General features: G+C 40.8%; 1 protein-coding gene across 21 annotated transcripts in view, besides 1 other annotated feature; it reads left to right on the top strand.

Annotated features, from left to right (window-relative positions):
- Positions 1-25,514, top strand: part of CCDC68 (coiled-coil domain containing 68) — a 57,953-nt gene extending 32,439 nt beyond the window's left edge. For 14 of the 21 annotated variants that reach the window (XM_011526199.3, XM_047437870.1, XM_047437864.1 and 11 more), the window contains 4 exons: positions 7,647-7,752; positions 9,027-9,110; positions 19,161-19,237; positions 22,608-25,514. In XM_011526199.3, coding sequence (XP_011524501.1) covers positions 7,647-7,752; positions 9,027-9,110; positions 19,161-19,237; positions 22,608-22,665 — 325 coding nt within the window. In that variant the 3' untranslated portion in view covers positions 22,666-25,514. Of the gene's footprint in view, positions 1-310; positions 1,081-7,646; positions 7,753-9,026; positions 9,111-19,160; positions 19,238-22,607 lie in introns of those variants that run through there. The other 7 variants (XM_047437873.1, XM_011526204.4, XM_047437874.1 and 4 more) reach the window with 2 other exon arrangements.
- Positions 20,888-21,119: a silencer, noted in NCBI's record as "fragment chr18:52573135-52573366 (GRCh37/hg19 assembly coordinates)". NCBI's record gives its function as "represses an EF-1alpha promoter that drives an FKBP-Casp9 reporter gene in an ReSE screen in K562 erythroleukemia cells {active_cell/tissue: K562}" and the evidence as "EXISTENCE:reporter gene assay evidence [ECO:0000049][PMID:32094911]".
- Positions 25,515-25,957: the final 443 nt, after the last annotated feature.

Here is a 25,957-nt window from a genome sequence, read left to right as displayed (position 1 = left end):
AGAGACAGAAAAGTCAAAAAGATTTGTCTTCTTAAAAATAAGGTTGACTCCATATTTCTATTACCATTACTGGTAATTGACACAGGTAAAATGCTTTGCAGTTTTCAGAATAACCTCAGGTAACTTCTTTATTTTATTCCTTTCATTCACCTTTCTGGGAAAGAGATGAAGTTCTAATTGAGTTGTCCAAGATTGCTCAATCTCTCAGAAATTATAGAGCTCGGAGATTTTGCTCCTACATTCTCATACATAGCAAAGCATTAGCTCATTCTGCTATACAAGATTTTGACCATCTTTCTTTTATTTCTAGAAACCTCTGAAGATCTCTTAAACTGGGTTCTTCATTCCTCTGAGTGACGACTAGCAAAAAGCCATTTTCCAACTTTTCCATCTGCCCTGCCACATCACGAACAAATATGCAGGCCTTTTTAAGAGTTATCTTTTGGGGAAACATATTTGGGATTGATATGGTTTGGCTGTGTCCCCACCCGAAAAGATGAGAATCTTGAATTGTAGTTCCCATAATCCCTACATGTCATGGGAGAAACCTGGTGGGAGGTAATTGAACCATGGGGGCGGTTAGCCCAATGCTGCTGTTCTCATGAGTTCTCACAAGTTCTGATGGTTTTATAAGGGGCTTTTCCTCCTTTTGCTTTGCACTTCTCCTTGCTGCATGGTTTTGGCCCGCCATGTGAAGAAGGACATGTTTACTTGCCCTTCCAACATGACTGTAAGTTTCCTGAGGCCTCCCCAGCCCTGCAGAACTGTGAATCAACTAAACCTCTTTCCTTTATAAATTACCCAGTCTCGGGTATGTTTTCATAGCAGCATGAGAACAGACTAATACAGGGAGCTGTAAAAATAAACAGTGTTGGCCCCTCTGTATTTACATAGATGCTGCTTAGGAATGGAAACTCCTTAGAGGAGGAAAGACCTTGAAGCTGAGGTTGCATGTCAAAGCATATGGTTGCCACTTAAATTGTACATTTATCTGCAGTAGTTTGGGGTGGGAGTGTTCTCTCAAGGCACCCCTTTGGTACCACCAATGAAAATAATAATAAAGAAGAATTTTATAGAAAATAGTAAGACACATTCATGAATTTTGTTGAAATGCAAACAGGGCTACACCTACATCCAAGCTGATTCTTTCCCTTAGTCTGGCCTGGGAATGGTAAGGATCTGACCTCTTCTCTTCTTGTGGTTGTGGTCCCTAGTTATCCTTTATTCCACTGGGGGCCCATAGTCAGTGATGTTTACACTCATGGAAGTCCAGAGAAACATTGGATCCTAAACAGAAGGCAGTATGAGTCCCCACAGATGGTAGTAAGATTCTTTTATAGCTTCAGAGAAGCTCTACGATGCCACTAATCTCACTATCTTCTGTATCCTGTGGGATTTCTATGTAGGGCTATTCACATTTCCAATGCCTCTATAATCTGTAGTGTACCCAGAAGTAGCCTCTTAGAGCCTGCAACATGGCTTTCGTTGCTACTTTTATTTCCTTTGTCTCAGCACCTAGTTCTTTTGGCTTCTTCTGGAATTTTCATTCTCATCAACATCTTACTACATGAATCCTTGATAAGAAATGTACTTTATAAAGATTTAAACATGTTATATTCTTGAGTTGTGTAAATATGGCCATGCTCAGGCTATTCATGCCCTTTGTGAAATTTTTAAGAAAATCTAAGGTTATTTATAAAAACTATGTAAAATATAATATGATTACTTAAATTAGAAAAAAATTAGATGATGAGGACAAGGAGATATAAGAATAGGTATACCATAAGGTTACATTTACAAAATTAGGCCCATGGATGCTACAGACTTGCTCACAGGGGATCACTGACTCAGTTTCAAATTTTCCAGCAGCCAACCCAAACAGGAAATGATGATTAGTTTTCTGAGTCACAATTCCACATGATTAAAACCAATCAGGTGTTTGCGATCATTCAGTTATTTCTTATCTATCTATAAAGCCAGAAAGAAAATTGCCCAGGGTATGGTCATAAAAAGAACCCTGAATAATGTTTTCAGCTTACCCCTTGTAATAAACACAAAGGCTTACCTCAGAACATCATCTAAACAGAATAGCATGATGCCAACACAATTCAATAAAAGCCATTGGAACAGGGGGGAACAGAGGGCACGGTGAGAAAGTCCAATAATGCTACCCGCTATGGTATAAGTTGACCCAAAGATAGATTGTCGAGTATTGTGAGGAGTGGAGGGAGAGAAGTTCTCCATGAACTCAGTTTCTTTTCACCAACCCTTTGGGAGACGTTGGGGAGTAGAGAAATTGAGGGTGGGCTTCCTGTCAAGTGCTTCTTCTATGATCATCCCATGTTGCTAATTAGAGGCAAAGTAATTTCTTTTCACATTTCTGCAGTTAAAGATAGGATTGACTTCCTTTCTTGAATGCTAAGGAATCTAACAGGAAGTGAACCAGAAATAGTTGTCTCTTCCCCCTCCTTCAGTGATGAATTGAGAGAGAATCCTCAATTCCCTCCTTCAAAAGGGTAGGGCAGAGATTCTCTTCTCTTTTTGTTGGGGCTTTTTCTGCTTGCCCCCATTGGCATTCCAGGCTGCTGTTTTTTTCCAGCTCCAAGTCTGGGATGTGTGAGATAAAAAGAAACCCCAGAGGATTCACCATTGTGTCATTTCTTGGATCCCAGGTTCCAGAGCCAGTCTGCCTTCTTCTCTCCGCTGTTCAGAGTCTTCTTGTGTTTTTTTTTTCATATACAATATCCAGGGCTTTTAGTTGTATTTAGCAGGAACAATGGGGAAAAGCATGTATTCTACATTTTCTTAGAAGCCAAAGCTTTTCAATTCTGCTTTAATTTCAACATTTGCTTTATATTTTTATTCAGTTGCATTGTAGAGGAAAACATGATCAAAAATTATGTTGAGACATTGGAAGGCAGAGCATGAATCCCAGATACAGACATTTGCCTCCTTTTTTTAGGCTTGACCCTTCCTTATGTTTTCTTCCTCCAGTTTTGCTTGTGTACCTCTTTATTAAGATTGGGCTAGGTGCAGTGGTTGATGCCTGTAATCCCAGCACTTTGGGAGGCTGAGGTGGGCAGATCACTTGAGGTCAGCCTGGCCAACATGGTGAAACCCCGTCTCCACTAAAAATAGAAAAATTAGCCGGGCATAGTGATGGGTGCCTGTAATTCCCAGCTACTCAAGAGGCTAAGGCAGGAGAATCACTTATACCCAGGAGCTGGAGGTTGCAGTGAGCCGAGATTGCATCATTGCACTTCAGGCTGGGTGACAGAGTGAGACTTTGTTTAAAAAAAAAAAAAGACTGAGTGCTTTAACAGAAAGATAAATAACAAAGCTCAAAAGAAGATCAAGTGGCAGCTTACTTAGATATATTTTTACATTTAAAGGTCTTAAATGGATGACTAGGCTTCATATTTATTGGACAGTCCTAATAGAGATTTTCTGCAATGGCCTTTAGTCACTGTTTTAGTGTGTTAATGGAGACAAGTGAAGCCCCAAGGCCATGTGTTTTCAAGAGTGCTTCTAGAAATAGTTTTCTTCTATTTTGAGGCCAATTTCAATTTTTTTTTTTTTTTTACTTACAGTGAACGCTATGGTAATACCTTCAAGGAGTACATGGGAAATTTTTCTGAGCTTGGGATTTTTGATAGAAAAATAACAACCTATGTTCTCTGTGCCTAAAGCCATCTTTTTTTCCCATTGGTTCCAAGGTTCTGGGTCATGGGACACAAAAAGAACCATTTTAAATTCTCACCTTACTCACCTTTAACAGCTTACAGTATTTTTATATTTCGTGCATATTCAAAGCCAGCTTGCCTCTGCGAGGCGTCTTAAGCTCTTTCTCATTACTTCCTGGGAAAGTCCTGAGTCTGACCATTAAGTGGGTCATAGCTGCTCTTTCTGTTATTTTTATCTTTTCTTCTTTTACTTTCCTTGCTGGAGCAATTTTGAATTTTAGCACCAGCTATGGACCCAATTTCTGTTTGCCCTCTGTGTTTTGATCTTTTTTTTTTTTTTTTTTTTTTTTTTGAGACGGAGTCTTGCTCTGTCACCCAGGCTGGATTGCAGTGGCACGATCTCGCCTCACTGCAACCTCCACCTCCTGGGTTCAAGCGATTCTTGTACCTCAGTCTCCCAAGTAGCTGGGATTACAGGCGCATGCCACCATGCCCGGCTAATTTTTGTATTTTTAGTAGTGACAGGGTCTCACCATGTTGGCCAGGCTGATCTCGAACTCCTGACCTCAAGTGATCCACTCGCCTTGGCCTCCCATAGTGCTGGGATTACAGGTGTGAGCCACCACACCCAGCATAATTTTTGCATTTTTAATAGAGATGGATTTTGCCATGTTGGCCAGGCTGGTCTTGAACTCCTGGTTTCAAGTGATCTACCCGCCTTGGCCTCCCAGATTGCTTGAATTACAGACGTGAGCCACCATGCCTGGCCTGTTTTGATCTTTATATCCTCCAGTCATCTTTTCCTAGTAACTGAGGTTTTCTTCTGAGGCTCCTTAGTTACCCCATCCTCTGCATGTTCGCAGCAATTCTACCCTCCAAGGGTTCTGAGCAACATCTGCAGATTTCTCAGTCCTGCCTCTCGCACACTCCCAATCTCCCCGGACTTCTGAAGACATCCTGCCCCTGAAGATTCTCTGTGGGCGGTAAGCCTTCTCACTGTTTGTTCAGAATGTTTGCCAACATCCAAAGTCTGGTCTCACCTTGGAAGGCTCTTCCATCTCCCCGCAACATCCTTAGGGTGTGGCACCTTACCCGCTGGGGGTGCTGAAATTTCCTCAGTCTCCCGTGCCTCAAGAAGCCTCTGAACCTCAAGTCTAGGGACAACTGAAATCTAATGTGAATACAGGCTGGTGTGCTGATGCAGCCATTCTCTGAACTTGAATTTTGGAAATACTGAGGGCTCAGTATTGCTGCTATTGTCAGTTCAAACTACATGGGCACAAAGCGTTTTCATCTGAATCAGGCATCCAGCTTATTTCTTTTCAAACACTTCCTGCCGTGGACCATGGAAAAAAAAACAAGGGGACTGCTTGTTTATTTACTTGGTTCGGATTCCCTACTGCCCCTCTCTAAGAGAAAAAGATCAAAGTGAGGCTTTCTGCCAGGTATGGGGTCCTTTAAATGATCATGTTATAAAAAGCAGATAAAATATTGGCACAGCTGAACTAGTTAGTGATCTTCCTTCAGCCTGCATTGACCGTTTACATTTCTTTCATAGCTTTTCTTAGTTTCATAGTTGCTTGTAGTGTTAATCAAGAGGAGGGAAATGGACTTTCACAGTGAGATTTCGTTGTGTAGGTATGATAATCAGACATGTTTCCGATTATCATCTAAAACAGAGTAGCACGCTTGACGCGTGTTCTTGTTCCCCCGTCATTTTGTGTCTTCTCTTTCTGTTCTCTGCATCCTTCTCCCAGGCCCCTCATTTGCTTCACTCCCCTCACCAATGTTGTAGGCGTCCTGTTCCCTGTAGATTTCTTGTGGCTGTACTCCCAAACATTCTCCTATCTTCCCCTCCTGTCTCTTTCTAGAGTCCTGGAAGATTACAATAATTTCTTTTGTAATTGTAAATTGTAAACTTCTTTTGTTTTCTTTCCAGGACTCTATTGGACCAATTAAAATAAAGCTTCTGATTTTTTGTTTTAATTTCAACTTTTATTTTACCTGTGGGAGTACATGTGCAGGTTTGTTACGTGGGTATATTGCCTGATGCTGAGGTTTGGGCTACTATTGAATCTGTCACCTAGGTAGCCAGCATAGCACTCAGGTAGTTTTTTAACCCTTTCCCCTCCATTCTTTCCCCCTCTAATAGTCCGCAGCGTCTATTGTTTCCTTCTTTACGTTTGTGTTTGCCCAGTGTTTAGCTCCCACTTATAAGTGGAATTGTGCAGTATTTGATTTTATTTTTATGCCTTAATTCACTTAGGATGATGACCTTCAGTTGCATCCACGTTGCTGCAAAAGGCACAATTTCATTCCTTTTTATGGCTGCATAGTATTCCATGGTGTATATATAACACATTTTCTGTATTGAATCCACTGTTGATAGGCACCTAGGTTGTTTCTATGTCTTTGCTGTCGTGAATACTGCTGTGATGGACATAAGAGTACACATGTCTTTTTGGTAGAATGATCGGTTTTCCTTTGGGTATATACCCAGTAATGGGATTGTTGGGTTGAATGGTAGTTCTATTTTTACCCTTTTAAGAAATGTCCAAACTGCTTTCCAAAGTGGCTGAACTAATTTACATTCCCACCAACAGTGTATAAGCATTCCCTTTTCTCTGCATCCTTGCCAACATCTGTTATTTTTTTACTTTTTAATAATAGCCATTATGACTGCTGCGAGATGGTATCTCATAGTGGTTTAGATGTGCATTTCTCTGAAACAATGTTTTAGTCCATTATATGAAACAAAATGAAAACTAATAACTCTTTTTTTCTAATTAGAACATGCTATATAGTATTTTATGAATTTCTGCTATCTTTGTGATACACATAGAGGCTGAGGTGGGTGGATCAGCTGAGGTCAGGAGCTCAAGACCAGCCTCGCCAACATGGTGAAACTCCATCTCTACTAAAAATACAAAAATTAGCCAGGTGTGGTGGTGCATGCTTGTAATCCCAGCTGCAAGAATTTCTTGAGCCCAGAAGTGGTGGTTGCGGTGAGCCAAGATCGCCTCACTACACTCCAGCCTGGGCGACAGAGTAAGACTCCGTCTGAAAAAAAACAAACCAACAACAACAAAAAAAAAAAAAAAAAGAAAAAAGAAAGAAACAGAATTGGGATGACATTGGATAAGAGCAAAGGCCAAGTGACTTCTCCGAGGTCACAATGCTTCTAAGCTTGATGGTGTTGCCACAGTGCATGTGGCTTCATAACTCTAATAACAGTAGCAAGAAGAGAAACAGCCAAAACAGTACAACCAATTCCAGTTACCTGAATGAAGCTTTGGGAAAGTATAAATAATCTAAATTCAAAATTGACTTTTTTTTCCATAATGATGGATGTGGACTCAAAAATATTTGCTGGAATTAAATTTCTTCCTTTCTTCTCCTTTTTTCCCCCCGTTTCCCTATGGAATGATAGTAGAATTACCAAAAGTAGGAATCCAAAAAATAAAAAATAAAAAAAGACAAACACAGACAATCCACAACATATACTAAGCCCGAATCATTAGAAATTGGTTTCTTATAAATATATTAATAGATAAAATCTCCATTTCTGCTCCCATGTTCTGACTCTGCTATTGGCATGCAATTGTCTGTGAAGTTTGATGGGTGCCAGGTCTGTGGGTGCTTAGGCAAGGCAATTTAGCGTATAAGTGCTTTATCGTACTGAATATAACTTGATTCCACTACCTGCTAGAGGAGTCACAGATGGCCAGAATGGAGATTTTGATGGGAATTGATATTCTCATTCAAGTTAAATCCAATCAAATTAGAGCCCGCTTCATAGCTATTTATCTTCAGTGTGTCCTATGTGGCATAATGGGGCCCCGGGGTCTTACCCAACTGATCCCCAGTAGCAGTAGAGTGTGTAGGAGGGCTAGCAGTAAGGACGAGCTATGGAACGTGTGAGCCAATCATTTTCTCTTGGTCTTTTTCCCTTTGCATTCCCAGTTGCCAGGATCTTCAGAGGGAGATTTCCATTCTCCAGGAGCAGATCTCTCATCTGCAGTTTGTGATTCACTCCCAACATCAGAACCTGCGCAGTGTCATCCAGGAGGTCAGATTAATCAAGTGTATTTATCTGGTAGACAGTATGTTTACAGCGTGGAGCCCAAATACGAGTGGCTTGACTGGACTTTTGAAGCAATGAGATTTCTCTCCCTACTGACATATCCTTTTTTGTTTCTCATGCAATATGTCTCTGTTTTCAATGCCCTCTCTTGTTTGTAACAAAAACACCTGTAATGCTCTCGATGAAGATAGCTTGGAAAGTTATGTATAACTGTTTTTTAGATGTTTCAGTGATTTTCTAAAAGTCTTCTGCGCCAAATAATGTACACTGGTCTTTAGACAATTTTGTAGATCAGGAGATTCAGCCCTTCCTTGAGTATGAAATGATCTGTTTTCATAACCTCATAATTTATTTAGGACATGATTTAGGATAGGGGTGTAGCCTGGCCCTTCTTCTCTGGGAGCAGCCTGATAGGTGGCAAAGTCGAGGCGATTGTGGTAACAGCCAGCTAGATGGCGGAGTGTGTATTTAAAATCTACTTCAAGATATGCATTGATCTGGTTTTGGGGTTCTGTTTTAAAATTTAAAATCAGACTTCTATTCAGGTACTTTACTGCCAAATACAAGTCCTCCCAAATACTCCAGAGCCTTCCTCACATAGATATAGCATTTGTGCTTGCTTGGCTATGACATCACTAAAAGGCCAGAGAATTGAGTAGTGGAATTTGAGAGCCAGGAGGGACTTTGGGGGCATCCCACACCCTCTTTTTATAGAGCAGTTTAATGACAGCTAGTGGTGCCAAAGTTGGTCTTAGAATCCTTGTGTCCCCTCTCTTCTTACACTGCTTTGCATCTCATCACCCCACCTCCCAATTCCACATTGCCTCTTGGCAAAGCAGGCTCACCTTATTATGCTGCTGCTTGACAAATCTCTACTGCAGGGACCCTCTGCACACCAGGCAGTGGTCTCGCATCCTGTCCACCAGCAGCTGCATCTGCAGGATGAAAACATTAAGTTGCTGAGATGCAGAAGGGCGGCCAGTGCTGCTTTCACAGGACGCACTCCTGCTGAACTTGGTTTAAACAGGTTATCCAAAGATTAAAGTGAATCACGGCACCAGCTGAGGGCTTTCAGCCCCAGGTGTCAGTTTGGCCTGCTATTTTCTGTTGCCTGCTGAGTCTGCTAATGCTTTGGGATTTAATTTTTTTTTTAATTTGATGAACATCTTTTGACCTCAGAAATCCATACAATTTCTGACTTAAGTAACTATTTCCTGTGGTCTGACAAGGTTTTTCCTATTGTGTTTTCTAATTCTTAGATGGAAGGATTAAAAAATAATTTAAAAGAACAAGACAAAAGAATTGAAAATCTCAGAGAAAAGGTTAACATACTTGAAGCCCAGGTAAGGAGGGAACCTGTCTTACATTTTGTTGTGAGGGTGTGAGTGTGTGTGTGTGTGTGTGTGTGTGTGTGTCTGTGCACGTGAGGGTATCAGTATCAGTGAGCCTGTGTATGAAAGCATGCATTGTATGCCTGTATAACACTACGAGTATGTCTGTTTGGGAGCGGGCATATGAGTGTCTGTGTGACTGTGTGTGCTGGGTCTGTCTATGTCTAAGTGTATGTGCATGTGTCTCTGTGTGTATGCAAGTGTCATTTTGTGAGTGTGTCTGTGCATATTCTATGCATAAGAAATTAGCACTATGGAAAAAAGGACTGACAATTTAACAATTGTTAAATTATGAAGTGTTTAAAAGATTGTATTGTTATTAAATTATTAGCATTTTTGTTACATATTAAATAAATATTATTAAATTATTATTAAAAGTTCATTCGGATTTTCCAGAATACTTGCTGTAATGGAGAGGCAGATGATAACTTCTCTCGATATGGGCTTGAATCAGAGGCTTGCTCAAATCTACTCTTGTGTAAATTTCACTCTAGTCAGACGGCCAGGCTTCCTGTCTCCTGCTTTGGTTCCCATGCATGATCCTTTCCTGGCTTGGGATGTCCTCTTTCCTCCTTTCTTCATTCACATCCATCCTGGCCTCCCAGCTTTGCCTCCAGGCTTACCTACTTCTAGAAGCCTGTTATAATTGTCTTACTTTTCAGTGTTTTAAAACTGAGCACAATACAATCTAATGTCCTGGGATAAGACATGCTTTTCTTCTCTCCCATTCACTTCCCCTTTCCTCAGGACCCCTCTATTAGTCTGTTCTCACACTGCTAATAAAGACATACCCAAGACTGGGTAACTTATAAAGAAAAAGAAGTTTAGTGCACTCACAGTTCCACATGGCTGGGGAGGCCTCACAATCATGGCATGGCGGAAGGTGGAAGCCATAGCTTGCATAGCAGCAGGCAAGAGAAGTGTCAGTAGGGGAAATGCCAGATGCTTATAAAACCATTAGATCTTGTGAGAAATCACTCACTATCATGAGAACCATGTGGGAGAAATTGCCACCATGATTCAATTAACTCCACCTGGCCCTGCCCTTGACAGGTGAGGATTATTACAATTCAAGGTGAGATTTGGGTGAGGACACAGAGCCAAACCATATCAACCCCCTTGCTAGCACTCAGCTGCTGTCCTCTGCTGGCGATGCCCCTGCCTTGCAGGAAGTGCAATGAAGCCCCTGCCAAGGTTGGAGCTCCTCTGAAGACCCCACAGCACCTCCACCTCATTCCATTTCTTGCCGTGTCTCTGCTTCTGTCTCTGTCAAATGGCGCATCACCCACTGCCTGGAGCTGTTCACCTGTTCTACTCCATCCCTCAGTATTTTGATTTTCTGCCAATTGTCACCTGCCAGCGTAATGTTGCCCAGTCCTGTAGACTGTGGAGATGTTCTGACTTCCCACTGGAGGCCTTATCCTCTTTTGGAATTATTCCTTCCACTATCATGTTCTTTCTGCTTTCCCCAAACAGAAGATAAAAAATCATAATAATAGTTTTTTACATGTTAATTTTTGTGGCCTCATTTTCCATTTCTACCTTCCCAGCAGACAATTGTTCTCTTTTGGTTTTGAGGATAGGCCTCATTGAACCTCGCACTGTCTTTAGACTCTCGCCCTCTTCAGGCTGTATGGGACTGATTAACACACTGCTCTCAGCTCTGTGCAGCTAAAAATGCCTTGATTGTGGAATAATTGGCTCAAAACTAGTGTTCACTCAAGTGCCCAGTAATAGCTGGCTAATTTATTTCAGGGGACCTTCAGATTATGTGATTCATGTCACAGTGGAGTCCCCTTGTATGAAATGTTCTCTAAAGACATTTCTTCACAGCCTTTCTTAGTGGCTTTTTGGCAAATGTTACTTGATAAAATATTTTTTCTTATATTATTACATGTAGCAATATATTATGTATTTCATATATATATATATATTTGAGACAGGATCTCACTCTGTCGCCTAGGCTGGAGCGCAGTGGCATGATCTCGGCTCACTGCAACCTCTGCCTCCTGGGTTCAAGTGATTCTCCTGCCTCAGCCTCCCGAGTACCTGGGATTACAGGCGCACACCATGTCACTCGGCTGATTTTAGTATTTTTAGTAGAGACGGGGTTTCACCATGTTGGCCAGGCTGGTCTCAAACTCCTGACCTCAAGCGATCTGCCCACCTCGGCCTCCTAAGGTGCTGGGATTACAGACATGAGCCACCATGCCTGGCCTATTTCTTACATTTTTTACGTAACTAACATTCATTCATTCCATATAAGTTGGGACATATGGATAAGCAAATAGAACAAGAAAATCACTGATAAAAGTACCATCCCTGGATACCAAATCAGCATAGCTGGGTATATCTATGTTTTGTGGGAATCTATGTGCCTGTTATATACCTGTGTGTACATACTAACTATAGAATATATATGGCACTGCACTGTGCCTATTGTATTCTCATTTTTAAACTTTCATTCATTTTTCCACATCACTAATTATGTAATTACTTCTACACTTAATTATTGAGTGGCTACTACAGTATAGGCACTAAATTCTAGAAAACAATGTTGAACAAAATAGACATGAGTCCTGCTTCCTGGAACTTACTGCCTAGTGAGTGAATTTGAAATGCCTCTTTATTCTGGACTAAATTCTTATTGAAGCTGTTCCAACAGCGAATCAGCCTATTGTGGCTCCAATAGCTTACTGCTTTAATTATTGTACATCTGTAATATGTTTTAATTGGAGAGGTTGTTTTAGAGTTGGCATCATTCTCAGATCTTTCACTTCATATGGTTCTGGGCTCTGCTCATATCTAATTAAGTGCCCATTCTTATCACAAAGTCAATGTGTCAGTGGTACTACAGCTTCTAATTCAATTTTGTGTTCTTTAGTTGTGCCTATTTATTTATATTGTTCCCAATGAGGAGTTTATCTTCCTAAATAAACTGACAACTTAACCCCGACGCTGTACATTATTCAGCTGGCCTGTTGGTTAAACAGTTAGACAAGGAAGGTGTATTTGTTTCCATTGTACTCCGTTTGTATATTCCAAAATTCAGCAAATAATTACCGACTATTCAGCAATTATGCCACAGAAATATACGTATGTCCCTCTCCTCTCATGAAAACTTCTTGGTTTGTGGCAGACTCTCTACAGTAATGTGACAGAACCTCTCAGTGTTGTCTTAGAGTCTCTGTACGTAGCTCAACCCAAGCCAGTGTTTTCTTTTTCTTTTTTCTTTTTTTGAGATGGAGTCTCACTTTGTCACCCAGGCTGGAGTGCAGTGGCGTGATCTCGTGATCTCGGCTCACTGCAGCCTTGGCCTCCCGGGTTCAAGCAATTCTCCTACCTCACACTCCCAAATAGATGGGATTACAAGTGCCCACCGCCACACCTGACTAATTTTTGTATTTTTAGTAGAGACAAGGTTTCACCATGTTGGCCAGGCTGGTCTCGAACCCCTGACCTCAGGTGATCCTCCTGTCTCAGCCTCCCAAAGTGCTGGGATTATAGGTGTGAGCCATTGTGCCCAGACTCAAGCCAGTGTTTTCTAACACTTGTATAAAAAAAGGCTTCAAATAATAACAGTATCTGATGAGTGACTTTATGTTCTCAACATTTATTTTCTTCAACAGATAAATCTTTCCTTCACAGCAGTGGATGTTACTACACCCATTTGAGCTTTAAAAAGTCCAAGCCATATTAATTTATTTATTCAACAGATATTTTTGTGTGTTTATGATGTGTCAGGAAATGTTCTAAGTGCTGGGTATGTGGCTATGAATGTGACAGATTGTCCCTGATTTCATCTTACTTATACTTTGAAGAAACAGACAACAAACAAATAAACAAGCAAGTACACAGCTTGCTTAGGAAGTGCCAAGTTCTCCGAGGAAGAATGGAAGAGTGTGGGGAGTCACAGAGTAACAGGGATTAGGGAGGGCATCCCTGAGCACATGTTGGACCAGGTATCCAAATACCTAAATATAGTGACTTTGAGCCATAGTGATTCAATTTATTTTATTTTATTTTATTTTTATTTTGTTATTTGTTTTTTAGGGACAGGGTCTTACTCTGTTGCCGAGGCTGAAGTGCCGTGGCATGATCATGGCTCACTGCAGCCTCAACCTCCCAGGCTCAAGCAATCCTCCTACCTCAGCCTTCTGTGTAGCTGGGAATACAGGCGCACACCACCATATCTGGCTAATTTATAACAAACAAAAAAAAAAATTGTAGAGACAGAGTTTCACTGTGTTGCCAGGCCTGGTTTCAAACTCCTGGGCTCAAGTGATCCTCCTGCCTTGGCCTCCCAAAGTGCTGGAATTACAAGTGTGAACCACTTCACTCAGCCTCATAGTAAATAAATTTCTATCCTATTCCTAGTGAATAGCTTATTATAAAGCTTTTAAGCTAGAATAAAATGTGCAGGGGTACACTGTCTTGCACTGCAAATTTAAGGTCACTGCCCATTTTGGAATTCCTAAAATAACAGGAGGAACTGATTCAGTTTATGAAAAATGATCATCAGAGCTTGAACAACCTTTTAAACCCAGCAACTTTTGAAACCATAAAGACAGCATCACTTTCTCATTCATGCTAAAATCGTTTGTCTCTGTTTAGTCATGCTACGTATTTTGTTTTCTTTAATCCTGAAAGCTGCTCCAGGAGAGCTAATGTTGACTACATTTTGCAAGTGACAAAACTGAGGATCTGAGAAGTTAAGCAGCCTGTTTAAAATCATTCAGCAAGCAGGTGGCAGAACCTGCATTTGAGTCTGCTTAATTTTGCAGCACATGCCTGCCCATCAATATCTGCTTATCTGGGTATTTGGGTGATATGGTTTGGCTGTGTCCTCACCCAAACCTCATCTTGAATTGTAGCTCCCATAATCCCCATGTGTTGTGGGAGGGACCCTGTGGGAGATCTTTGAATCCTGGGGATAGTTTCCCCTGTACTGTTCTCATGGTAGTGAATAAGTCTCATGAGATCTGATGGTTTTTTAAGGGGAAACCCCTTTCGCTTGGTTCTCATTCTTTATTGCCTGCCTCCATGTAAGACGTGTCTTTGCGTCTCCTTTCCCTTCTGCCATGATTGTGAGGCCTCCCCAGCCATGTGGAACTGTGAGTCCATTAAACGTCTTTCCTTTATAAATTACCCAGTCTTGGGTACATCTTTATTAGCAGCGTCAGTACAGACTAATACACTGGGTGATTAAATGTGTGTGTGTGTGTATGTGTATACATGTTTGTGAAATATATATGTGTAGCCAATATATTTTTAAACACCTGGTTATAACATTAAATTTGCATAGTCTTTTACGTTGATTTTAGTCATTGTCACAGTTACTGTATTAAATATTTTCTACCTTACTTCTAGCTTTCAAGTAATGGAAACACCTCCTTTTTTCCTGTGGTGGTCTTTCTATCCTAGCAGTTTTTTTCCTCTCCCTATAGGTGATAAAATTGACTCATATAACCCTATCTTTTAAAAAATGTTTAATTCTTCTTAGCCAGTTTTAAATATCACCAGAAAATTTCTGCTTAACTCTACCGAAATTATTTACTTTCTTTCTGGTTTTGCATATCTTTCATCATCTTAATTTACAGCTCTGACACTCATCTTATATTTCTTGCATTTCTAGTTTCTTCGCTAAGGACCTGCTCCTAGGGAAATGCATTTTCAGAAATTACTCCATTTTCTAAACTTTGAAGATTATCCTACTTTATATAAGCACCATCATCCTTTAAATTTAATTCTGGAGTGTGTTGCTAAAATATTAAGTATGCAAAAATTATATTCTTTGTGAAAACTATGTCAATAAACTATCCTTAGACAGAGCCATAATAATGGCAGGCATATTCTGGCCAGTGATTTGTAGTTTTTAAATAAAACTCATGCATATACTGTCCTAGTTAAAGGAAAAATCAGAAAAGTCTATGAATCAAGACTAAATGCCTAAATCTGGTAGATGAAACAAATCAGCATGGAATTTAAAATAAATTGAAGAGAGTCTAACATAATAACTCCTATGCTTTTGTATTGTTTGGTACTGAATTGGTCGAGAAACTGGGAGCTTATTCTGGGGAAAACCTAAGTAGCTTTTACCTAATTGTCCTGTCACAGAATATTTTCATTTCAATCATGCTTGTCATCAAGGGAGTGTGTTTCAAATTGCTTTGTCAAGTGTAAAGTACTATAGAGAGGGACTTTTTTCTAGGCACGTGCTTGGCCTATAATATGTGCCTGCCCTTGTTTGGAGTGTATAATAGATTTATATTCATTATATGAGGAAATCTTCACCATCAATTGATGAAATCTGAAGTACATTTCCTTGGTGAAACTTAGCTTCACTCTTGAAATTTCACAGTGAAATGATGATTGCATGTGAAGATACTGGCTCCATCTTTGAGTTATTATTCATGATAAATGCTGGGAGCTAAGAAGAGGCACAATTCAAGGCTGACTCTAAACCATTAACTTAATCCAAACCATCAGGTGGAATTTCAGAAAATACCTTGTAGGCCAGGTGCAGTGGCTTTCACCTGTAATGTTAGCACTTTGGGAGGCTGAGGCGGGCGGGTCACTGGAGGGCCAGGAGTTCAAGAGCAGCGTGGCCAACATGGTGAAACCCTGTCTCTACTAAAAAAAATACAAAAATGGCCAGCTGTGGTAGCACGTGCTTGTAATCCTAGCTACTCGGGAGGCTGAGGCAGGAGAATCGCTTGAACCCAGGAAGTGGAGGTGGAGGTTGCAGTGAGCCATTGATGGCTGTAATGAGCCATCTGGAGGGTCTATTGCCATCTCACTGGCTGCAGCAGGGAGGCGTGGCAAGGGCTGCATTCTCCATGGAGCCCACAAGAGCCCCACCCCTACTGGGCACAGCTGCAGCTGTTTGAACTGTGGCTGCAGACTCAGGAGTCCCTGCACTCCTGGGGGCCTTGGAAGGCCCCCCTTGCCCTTGCAGGCTCGGAAGTGCCTGCTCCCACTGCCTGGCTTCTCCCTGCTGTTGGCACCCTCCCCAATCTCGGAGCAAAGTTGGGGCCAAGCCCAGGCACTGTCACAGCTCAGCTGGGTGTGTGCATGCTCGGGTTAGAGCTGACATGCTAACCCCCTTCTGCCTCAACCCCCTCTGGACTTTGGGCACCACTGAGCATGAGAGGGAAGCCAAGGGGGTGCTGAGGGCAGCTTGGTGCTGGCCTGAAGGTGCCCCTTGGCACAAACAGCCTGGGTGCTATGAACCACAGCAGAAGGCAGACAGGCTCCTGGGCAGAAGGGGGCAGGTCTCCAGTGAGTCCTCACCTTCAGGACAGGAAGGGTCTGAATGCTGGGGGCCGGGCTGCCAGTCTTATGCACTGGAGTAAGAACTTGTGTTGCCTTTTGTGGGCCCATTCATGGCTGCCCATGGAGCAATCAGCACATACTTCCTTCCCCTCTGAGGCCATGAAAGCCCCAGGCTTAGCCAGAGCTGGGCAGACACTGGGATGACCAGCTGCAGAGAAGAGCTACCCACTCCAGGGCCTCCTCTCTACTGAGAATCAAGCAGATATTGGGACAACCTGCCTGCAGAGAGGAGCCACCCACTCTAGGGCTTCCTCTTTGATGAGAGCTGCACAGACGATGGGGCAGCCAGCTGTAGAGAGGAGCTACCGTCTCTGTTGATAGCTGAACACTTGTTGGGATCACTTGCCTAGCAGAGAGGAGCTACCTTCTCTGCTAGGAGCTGGACACTTGTCAGGACACCCTGGCTGCAGAAGGGAGCTGCCCCCTGCAGGTTTCCTCTGAGCTGTTCTATTGCTCAGTAAAGCTCCTCTTTGTCTTGGTCACTCTACACTTGTCTGGGTACCTCATTCTTCCTGGTTGCCAGACAAGAACTCAGGACCCACTGGATGCCTGGGCTAAAAGAGCTGTAACACAAACAGGGCTGAGACATGCCCCTTGCTCGCCATGTTGCAGGCAAAGAGAAGGAAAGAAGAGCTGTGGCCCTTTGGGCAGCCCAGACCTGGGAGCTCCCTGAGCCAGGGCTGTGACTCTCTCTTTGGGGCCTTGCGGTTCCTGGCATCTCCAAGCTTCTGGGTGCCACCGTGTTCCCCGGTGCCAGCTGTGGAAGCTGCTTGTGGTGCACCTGGTCTAGCCGCAGCCTCGCAGAGCCAGCACCCATGCCAGTACCCGGCGCTGTGTGCCCCACTGTAGCAGTCGGCATGTTTGACTATACACAGTGGCCGGACCCCACACCACTTGCTCACACACCCCTCACCATTTCACACCTGACTCGCCCTTGACAGGCATGAGACCTAGGCCAGTAGTTCACAGCCTGCCAGGCTGAGTGAACAAAATGAGCCCAACGGAACCAAGTAAAACTCTGGCAAAGGCGCCACTGGCCTCAAACATTTGCGGCCAGAAAAATGACACCTTGTAACACTGAGATCGCGCCACTGCACTCCAGCCTGGGCGACAGAGTGAGACCCTGTCTCAAAAAAAAAAAAAAAAAAAGAAAGAAAATACCTTTTAAACTATAATTACATGACTCTCTAAGTCTGTTCCTTGAAAGGGAAGGGAGCTGATGTTCTGCTGTTCATCACTTGTCATCGTTCCCCCCAGCTACCTTTTGGTCGCAGACACTTTTATATGGGTGTGTCCTTTAAAGTGCAACCCACTGGCAACTCAGCATTGCTCATGATCCCTAACCATTTTAAGTCTCACTTTCCAGATCTGGGAAGTGAAATTGCTCACTTGACTATGTTGTAGAGAAAACACTGGCTCTGGACAGGAGGAAACAGCTTGGCATTGAGCTCTGCATGAATAGGATGTGGGGCACTGGAAGTCTTTGGAATTCAATTTATAGTTATAAAAATGGTACTTGAGGCTGAGTGCGGTTGCTCACACCTACAATCCCAGCACTTCGGGAGGCTGAGGCAGGTGGACTGCTCAAGTCCAGGAGTTTAAGACCAGTGTGAGCAACTTGGTGAAACCCTGTCTCTACCCAAAATACAAAAATTAGCCAGGCATAGTGGTGCACACTTGTGGTCCCAGCTATTCGGGAGGCTGAGTGGAAGGCAGGTTTAGGCTTGGAGGTGGAGGTTGAAGTGAGCCGAGATACTGTATCCAGCCTGGGTGACGGAGCCAGACACTGTCAAAAAAAAAGGCACTTCGACTAGAAAATCATAACCAATTGCCTTTACTCTTAAAATCTGTGCCAGGCACTAGCTGAGCACTTGACGTATTTTTTTATCTCATTTTAAATCTGTGGAGAAGGCGTTATTATTATATCTGTAATTCAGATGAGGAAATTAGGCACAGAGAGGTTAAGTAACCTAAATGAGGTCATGTAACCAGTGAGTGGCTGTGCTAGGATTTGTACCTGAGAACTTGTGCTCTAACCACTCCTGTTCTTAGCTGTTGCATGAACTCCCAGAATTATGAGAGTGCTTCCAGATGTAAAATATTATGTTCATATGACACTTGTTTCTTCCAACAACTTACACAAAGTAGGCAGGACATGTATCATTTACCACTAGTATAGATATAAAGAAACTAAGGTTTCATAAGAAAATTGAGGCTATAGAGGCCATGAACTTATATTAATAGTAAAGAGCAGATGGTACCTATTTTCATGGGGTTTATAATCAAGAGATCGCAAAAGAAAGACGAACATGTGATTGATATTGTGGGTATCTTTAACAAGGTTCCTTAAAAGTTCTTTTCATTTGCCTGTATTTTTAAAACTCTGTAAAATAAAATATGGATACTTCAGCTGTTGAATTTCAGATGCTAAATCAGAATACTCTATTTTAGTCCCTTGGTAAATTATACATTTTTAAAGGAGTATCTGCATCTTCAGAGATAATATTTAGTGACTTTCAACTGGCTATTTTCTGTGTTCTATAGCATAACTGCAATAACAAACTTGCTGCCAACGAGTGAGGCAGGTGTTGGGTTGAATAGAAGCATTGAGGGTGTAGCTAATAAATGTGTTAGCTATTTGACGTCTGCATTTTTTTTCAATTTTAGAATAAAGAACTAAAAACCCAGGTAGCACTTTCATCTGAAACTCCTAGGACAAAGGTATCTAAGGCTGTCTCTACAAGGTAAGGTCTCTGTCCTCTTCCACCCTGTCTTCACAACCTATGTTGAACATGTTAGACATTCAACCCACTCAAGAAAGATTCCAGTCTGTCACTGCTTATGTAATCATTTGTTTACTGTTTTTCTCCCAGTTTCTATTCAGAACTGTGTTAATCTTGTTCATCATTTAATCCTCAAAGCCTAACACAGAAATACTAAATAAATTAATGAACAAATTTAGATATCTCTTTTTTTCTTCTTTGCCCTAATTAACAAGCCCAATCTCAACTCCAACACCTAGACATTACAGATCATCTCCTTTATTGTCTTTCTTCTTCTGTTGCTCAAGTTTTTTATGCCATTGATGGACATTTTAATCTTTAATTGTTGGCATTTTTTGAAATTGCTATGTTGTCAACTCTAATAAATTATTAATATAAATATCACCAGGGCAAGAATAGTTCTTTTTAATTTCCTGCATTGCTAAGGACAAGGTTCTTCAACAGCTATCTAATAATGAATGATTTCAAGCGATGATGATGACCTACTAAAGAAATTGAAATGATGGTTGAAACCATCTAAGTCATTTTTTTAAGTTAAATTTTTGTTGTGGTTGTTGGCAGAATCAGAATCTGGGCTCAAATCTCATTTCCACAAACCCCATGAAATTATCATTTAAAAGAAAACATAGTCTCTAATTATATGTATCATTCAAAAAGTGATTAAAAACTTCGTCTTCTAGCAGCTTTTGAATTTCCCAAGCTAGTCCCTCTAGGGAAGAATCTTATTTTCTAAACGTCTCTTCAGCCCAGTGCCGGAGGTGGAAAAATCAGACCCACTATGATTAGCATCAGTCTAGGAATTCAGGAAGATTCTTCTCTCTTTAAAACTGCCTGAAACAGTATTTCACTTTGCTAATGATGTATGTAATTAGAGACTAGAGATGAAACTATTATGATTCAAGTCCTCTAAAATCTTTTGGCCTCCAGATGCTTGTTAGAAACTTTTTGGCCACTAGCCCTGCAACTTCTAGAAAATAAAAGAAATGAAGCCTCAGAGGTTTCCCAGGAGGAGAGGAAATGCCTACATTTCAGAAGCAGGGAGAGTCGAGTCACTTCAGTTGGGGAAGATGTGAAAAGTTTGGACTAGGAGGGCAAGCGTGACATTCTAAGGGAAGGAAGGATGGCTAATATTTTGCTCCCTTCCATCTTTACCATTCCCATTGGGATGGTGAAGCACTATGGCCAGTCCCAGCTGCTTGGACCCTGGAGGGAATGGGGCCAGAATGGAGCAGACAATGAAACAGCTGGTTATCTTCATATGGTAACTACTCTAGTATTGAATGCTGAGACTCTGGCTGGTATATAGGGGTCATGTTGAAGAGAATGCTTTTTTTGGCCAACGCTTTAGCTACAGCTATTAATTAGTATTTAACTAATTAATAGTTAAAGGTTTACTGTTTAAAGATTTTTCTTCTCCCTGTGACTTGGGAAAGGCCAAATGGGGGAAATTTCCTAATTGAAGTGGTGAAATGAGACTGAATGTCCCCTTTGTTCTGTGATTTTTGATAGAAATTCTCGTATTAATTATGTAAAGCAGCAGTCCCCAACCTTTTTGGAACCAGGGTCCAGTTTCATGGAAGACAGTTTTTCCATGGACCAGGGTGGAGAGGATAGTTTCGGGGTGATTCAAGTGCATTACATTTATTTCTATTTTTATTACATTGTAATGTATAATAAAATAATTATAAACTCACTATAATGTAGAATCAGTGGGAGCCCTGAGTTTGTTTTCCTACAACTAGCCAGTCCCATCTGGGGGTGAGACAGATGTTCAGGCATTAGATTCTCATAAGGAGCACGCAACCTAGATCCATCGCATGCACAGTTCACAATGGGGTTCGTGCACCTATGAGACTCTAATGCCATTGCTGATCTGACAGGAGGTGGAGCTCAGGAGGTAATGTGAGCGATGGGGAGTGGCTGTAAATACAGATGAAGCTTCGCCCTCTTGCCCACTGCTCACCTCCTGCTGTGTAGTCCTATGCCTAACAGGCCATAGACTGGTACCAGTCCATGGCACCAGTCATGGGCACCCCTGATATAAAGGCAGGACTCACATTTGCAAAATAAAATATGGCCCATTGGTTGCTTGAAAAATGTAAGTGGTAGTTTGGTTTGGTAAATCTGGATTCACAAATATACAATGGAATTAACTCTAGGGAGAGATTTGAGTATAAAGATAACTGTTAAGACTGAAATTAGAAAATTATGTACACATAAAAATTTAATCTTGGCAAATCTCTACACATTCTCTCAGGGAATACAAACAAAAAAGGTTTTTTCTTTTTTACTTGAGCTTTAGAACATATAGATCTTCCTTCCTTCCTTCCTTCCTTCTTCCCTTCCTTTCCCTCCCCTCTTCCCTCTCCTTTCTTTCTCTCCCCTTCCTCCCCTACCCTCCTTCCCACTCTCTGCCCTTCCTTTCCCCTCCCCTCTTCCCAACTAGTCCCTCCCCTCCCCTCCACTTCCTTTCATTCTCTTTGTTTTTCTGTTTTGACAGGGCCTCACTCTGTGGCCCAGGCTGGAGTGCAGCAGTGCAATCATAGCTCATCTTAACCTCAAACTCCTGGGCTCAAGGGATTCTCCCACCTCAGCCTCCCCAGTAGCTAGGGCTACAGGCACACTATCACACCTGGCTATTTTCTTTTTGTGGAAAACAGCATCTTGCTATGGTGCCTAGGCTGGTCTTGAACTCCTGGGCTCAAGTGATCATCCCACCTCAGCCTCCCAAAGTGTTGGGATTACAGTCATGAGCCACTGCATCCAGCCTGATGTTTCTTGAGTGGTTTGCTTGAGATGAGGGGCCATGTTGTTAAACAACAATAATAAAATATGCATATGTATATATGTGTGTGCATGCATACATATGTCTGTGTACATATGTATATATATACACACACATACTTACAGTTTTAAATACTAGAATCACACAGTGAGGAAATAAATTCAGGCTATGCAAAATGCATTGAACTAAAATAGCCTGGGGGAACAGTTGATTTGTGTTTTGTCATCTCCAACTCACTCTGGGGAATGTCTTCACCAGGTGGAATGGCAGATACAGGCTCTTCCTCTCTCCGGCTTCCCTCATGCTCCCTCATTCTTGTCCTGTTACATCTAGCAGAATTTGCATGCATTAAATGCTTTCACAATGCGATTCTACTGTATATCATGGGGAACTGGTCAGAATACATCTATTAACACATCTCTTAGAACAAAGCAGTTAGTTCAGATTTGATGTGAATAGTATTGTGGTAGTTGAGTATGGTAGTCTAGCCATAATCACTAGAGTTTAACATTCTCCATTTTGATCATCGTGTTGTCTTTTCTACAGTGAATTGAAGACCGAAGGTGTTTCCCCTTATTTAATGTTGATTAGGTTACGGAAATGAACTGGCTGGATGAAGATCTGATTTAGAAAGACTGCGTGAGTCTTATTTATTCTCTGAAACACAGCCCAAGTTTCATGTTAAAATGGCAAAATGCCATTATTTAAATGGAACTTATTACATACCAATGGCTTTGCAAGAAGATGACATTTCAGAAAATCAAACAAATCTATATTTAATGGATGGACTCTTCAAAACTTACCAAATAGTTGAAGAAACCAGGTGCCTTCTCATGATGGAAGACAGATTCTGCTTTAAATTAAAAAAAAAAAAAAATCTGAATCTTGTTTTCAGATTTTTTTTTCTACTGGGATTGTTTTAAGATTGTCAATTCTGACTTTTTTATAGTGGTTTTTAAGAGTATAAATAGAAGGGAGAGTGTATATGTGTATGAATGAACATACATTTCCTGCATATATATGTATGAAGGGCATGTATATGTATGAATGAGCAAACATATTTGAAAGTTAACTTTTGGATGATAGGAAAGATCGTACAGTGACATAAGTTCATCTCCTGATCCATTGTTTGTGGGAGAATTATACTTGACTGAATTATGGGCAGGAGAAAGAGCAGATTCCTTTTAGCTAATTCCCCAACCCATATGCCCCTCTGAAGTTGAGAATCATGGCTGCCTCACCACACATCAGAGAATGACTGTTCTTCTTAGTTCTGGGATTAAAAATTGGTTTCTAGAGGTAACCTGTACACACAAACGCACAGGGATGCACATGGTTTCCTCTGCCTTTGTGACTAATTTTCTTCTTGATAGTTATTAATAGTATCTAAATAAAATATTGGGGGGATAGAAAAATAATGCTGTTAGCTCATACTTCCATGAAAATGTATATATTATAGGCTCAAAGGAATAATGACTGCTGTCTGCAGCCAGAAAGAATCTGAATTTATGAATTGGAAAGATATATATAGTGTATTTGTGAAAGTTTGCTTAAATTCTGATACATGCCTTCTTTGTAGGTGGAGTTTGTGATTGCAGTGAATAGAACAAATTCTGACTTGCAGAAATGCAGACATACAGTCAGGAAAGAACAAACTTCAATTAAATGTATAATGAGAGACCTTGGTCCCCCTAAAGGATGAATTTCCTTTAGGCCTTTGATCTTCCTCTCTAGTGTATAACTTTAAATATTTGCTCAGAAAAGATGCTGACTCTTTCATTATGGAATGTGAAATATCAGTGTTGTCTATAAATATTTGAAGGTATATAAAAATGAGATGATGTAATGTATTTATAAATTTATCCAAGTACTGTAATCCTTGAATTGTTGTGTAACTGTGTGTGAGTTTTACGCTTCATGGTATTTTTGGAAACATTTTTATTGCTTGCTTATTTTGAAGGTATATTTATCTGTTAACATTTAGGGCATAGTTACCTTATACCAGCAACAAGTCTAAGCACTTTACTTGTATTAATTTATTTTATCTTCCCCAAGGCCCTCAGAAGCAGATTATTCCTGTTTTACAGAGAAAGATACTGAGAGTGGTTGAGTAATTTGCCCAGCTGCTAACTGTGAAGCAAAAATTTGAACCTTTTGACTTGGCTATTGATATTCATTCTACTTGCTCACATGGTGGTCTAAGAAATTTCCCAGCTATAGAAATCTCTCTATTTTTGCCACTTTAATCAACACATAGCTTCCTGGATGACTGCCTGTGTTATTTTGTGGATGACAGTAAGAAACAACAAATACTGATAAAATCAATATTTTGCTGAAATGAGTTGATCTTTCACCAGCTGGACTACCATTGTGAGAACTCAGTTCAGACAAACTTCCCTGCTAAAAATCTGTTTATCATACATTTATTATTTATGACTTTATGTCACATTGAAGAATTTCTTCATGATACATTTTCAGGCACACTTGTAGGAAAATTAGGATCATGAGTCCTGCTTTAAGTATTTGCAGTGTAGTAAGAGAATCCATCTTTTACTAGGAGACCAGATTCCTTTTATACCTCATTCATCATGCTGGATTGTAATAAATTTCAGATTTTGGAATGGGCTTATTTAACTGACCTGACAATCTTGATGATTTCCATTAGAATAACTTATTCTAAGGTCAAAAGTGGAAAGACACTGTTGGTTTTTATTTTGATTTCACTATACTCATTTTTGAACATGGAAATACAGTGGTGAAACCACCTATGCAAAAATGATAACAGTGAGGAAATTATGACAGTGAAAGAGATCTGACCTAACTATCTATCTTGCCTCGAAACTGCCCTTGGTCGTTCCTGAGTGTGGGCCAAGCTAACTTTGGGAGAAATTTACTTTATAGGTTAAATTATAATAGCCCTTCCCAAAACTAAACGATTCTCCTGCCTCAGCCTCCCGAGTAGCTGTCTTTATAATACCATCAGCCTTATCATTTATTCGTCATGTATGGATTGTTTCCTATATCCACTATCATAAAATTATCATTTGAAATATTTTTTTATGAAAAAAAAAACACTTCTCAGTGAAAAAACAAGATTACAAGGGGGAATAATATTTATTCAGCTAAAATAGTACTTCACAGGAAATATAGGAAAAGAAACACTAGTTCAGTTTTATTCCAAATAATGTACTTCTAATTATACTCTTGAATTTATTGGATAAGAAGGTCTGAGGTGGGTCTGAAATTCATACATGAAGTCAGGAAAAGAAAAGAAACTTAGTTCTACCTTGATTACATATGTTGTTACAAATTATCATTATAAAATGTTTAAACAATTAGTATAGTATATCTTTTGAATAATTGCTTATAATATGCCTTACCATAAAGAAAATTGATGCTACATTGTGTGAATTGTTTGGTTTTCTTTTTATATTAAAATTATGCATAAATGAATTAAGTAGTTTTTTGGTTTTTGTGGTTTTTTGTTTTTGTTTTGTTGTTGTTGTTTTGAGACAGAGTTTTGCTCTTGTTGACGAGGCTGGAGTGCAATGGCGCAATCTCGGCTCACTGCACCCTCCGCCTCCTAGGTTTAAGCAATTCTTCTGCCTCAGCTTCCCAAGTTGCTGGGATTACAGGCGACTGCTACCACACCCGGCTAATTTTTTTGTATTTTTCGTAGAGACAGGGTTTTGCCATGTTGGCCAGGCTGGTCTCGAACTCCTGACCTCAGGTGGTACACCCGCCTCAGCCTCCCAAAGTGCTGGGATTACAGGCGTGAGCCACCAGCGCCAGACCAGTAGGTTTTATCTGATTGTTTATGACAACATTATCCATAGTATATGTATTGTTTTGGTCAGTGAACAGATTTATAAATAGCTTCCTGAATTTTTCTGCTG

This window comes from Homo sapiens, chromosome 18, assembly GCF_000001405.40.
Source record: "Homo sapiens chromosome 18, GRCh38.p14 Primary Assembly".
Classification (NCBI taxonomy): domain Eukaryota; kingdom Metazoa; phylum Chordata; class Mammalia; order Primates; family Hominidae; genus Homo; species Homo sapiens.
This window is presented reverse-complemented; position numbering and strand designations above follow the sequence as displayed.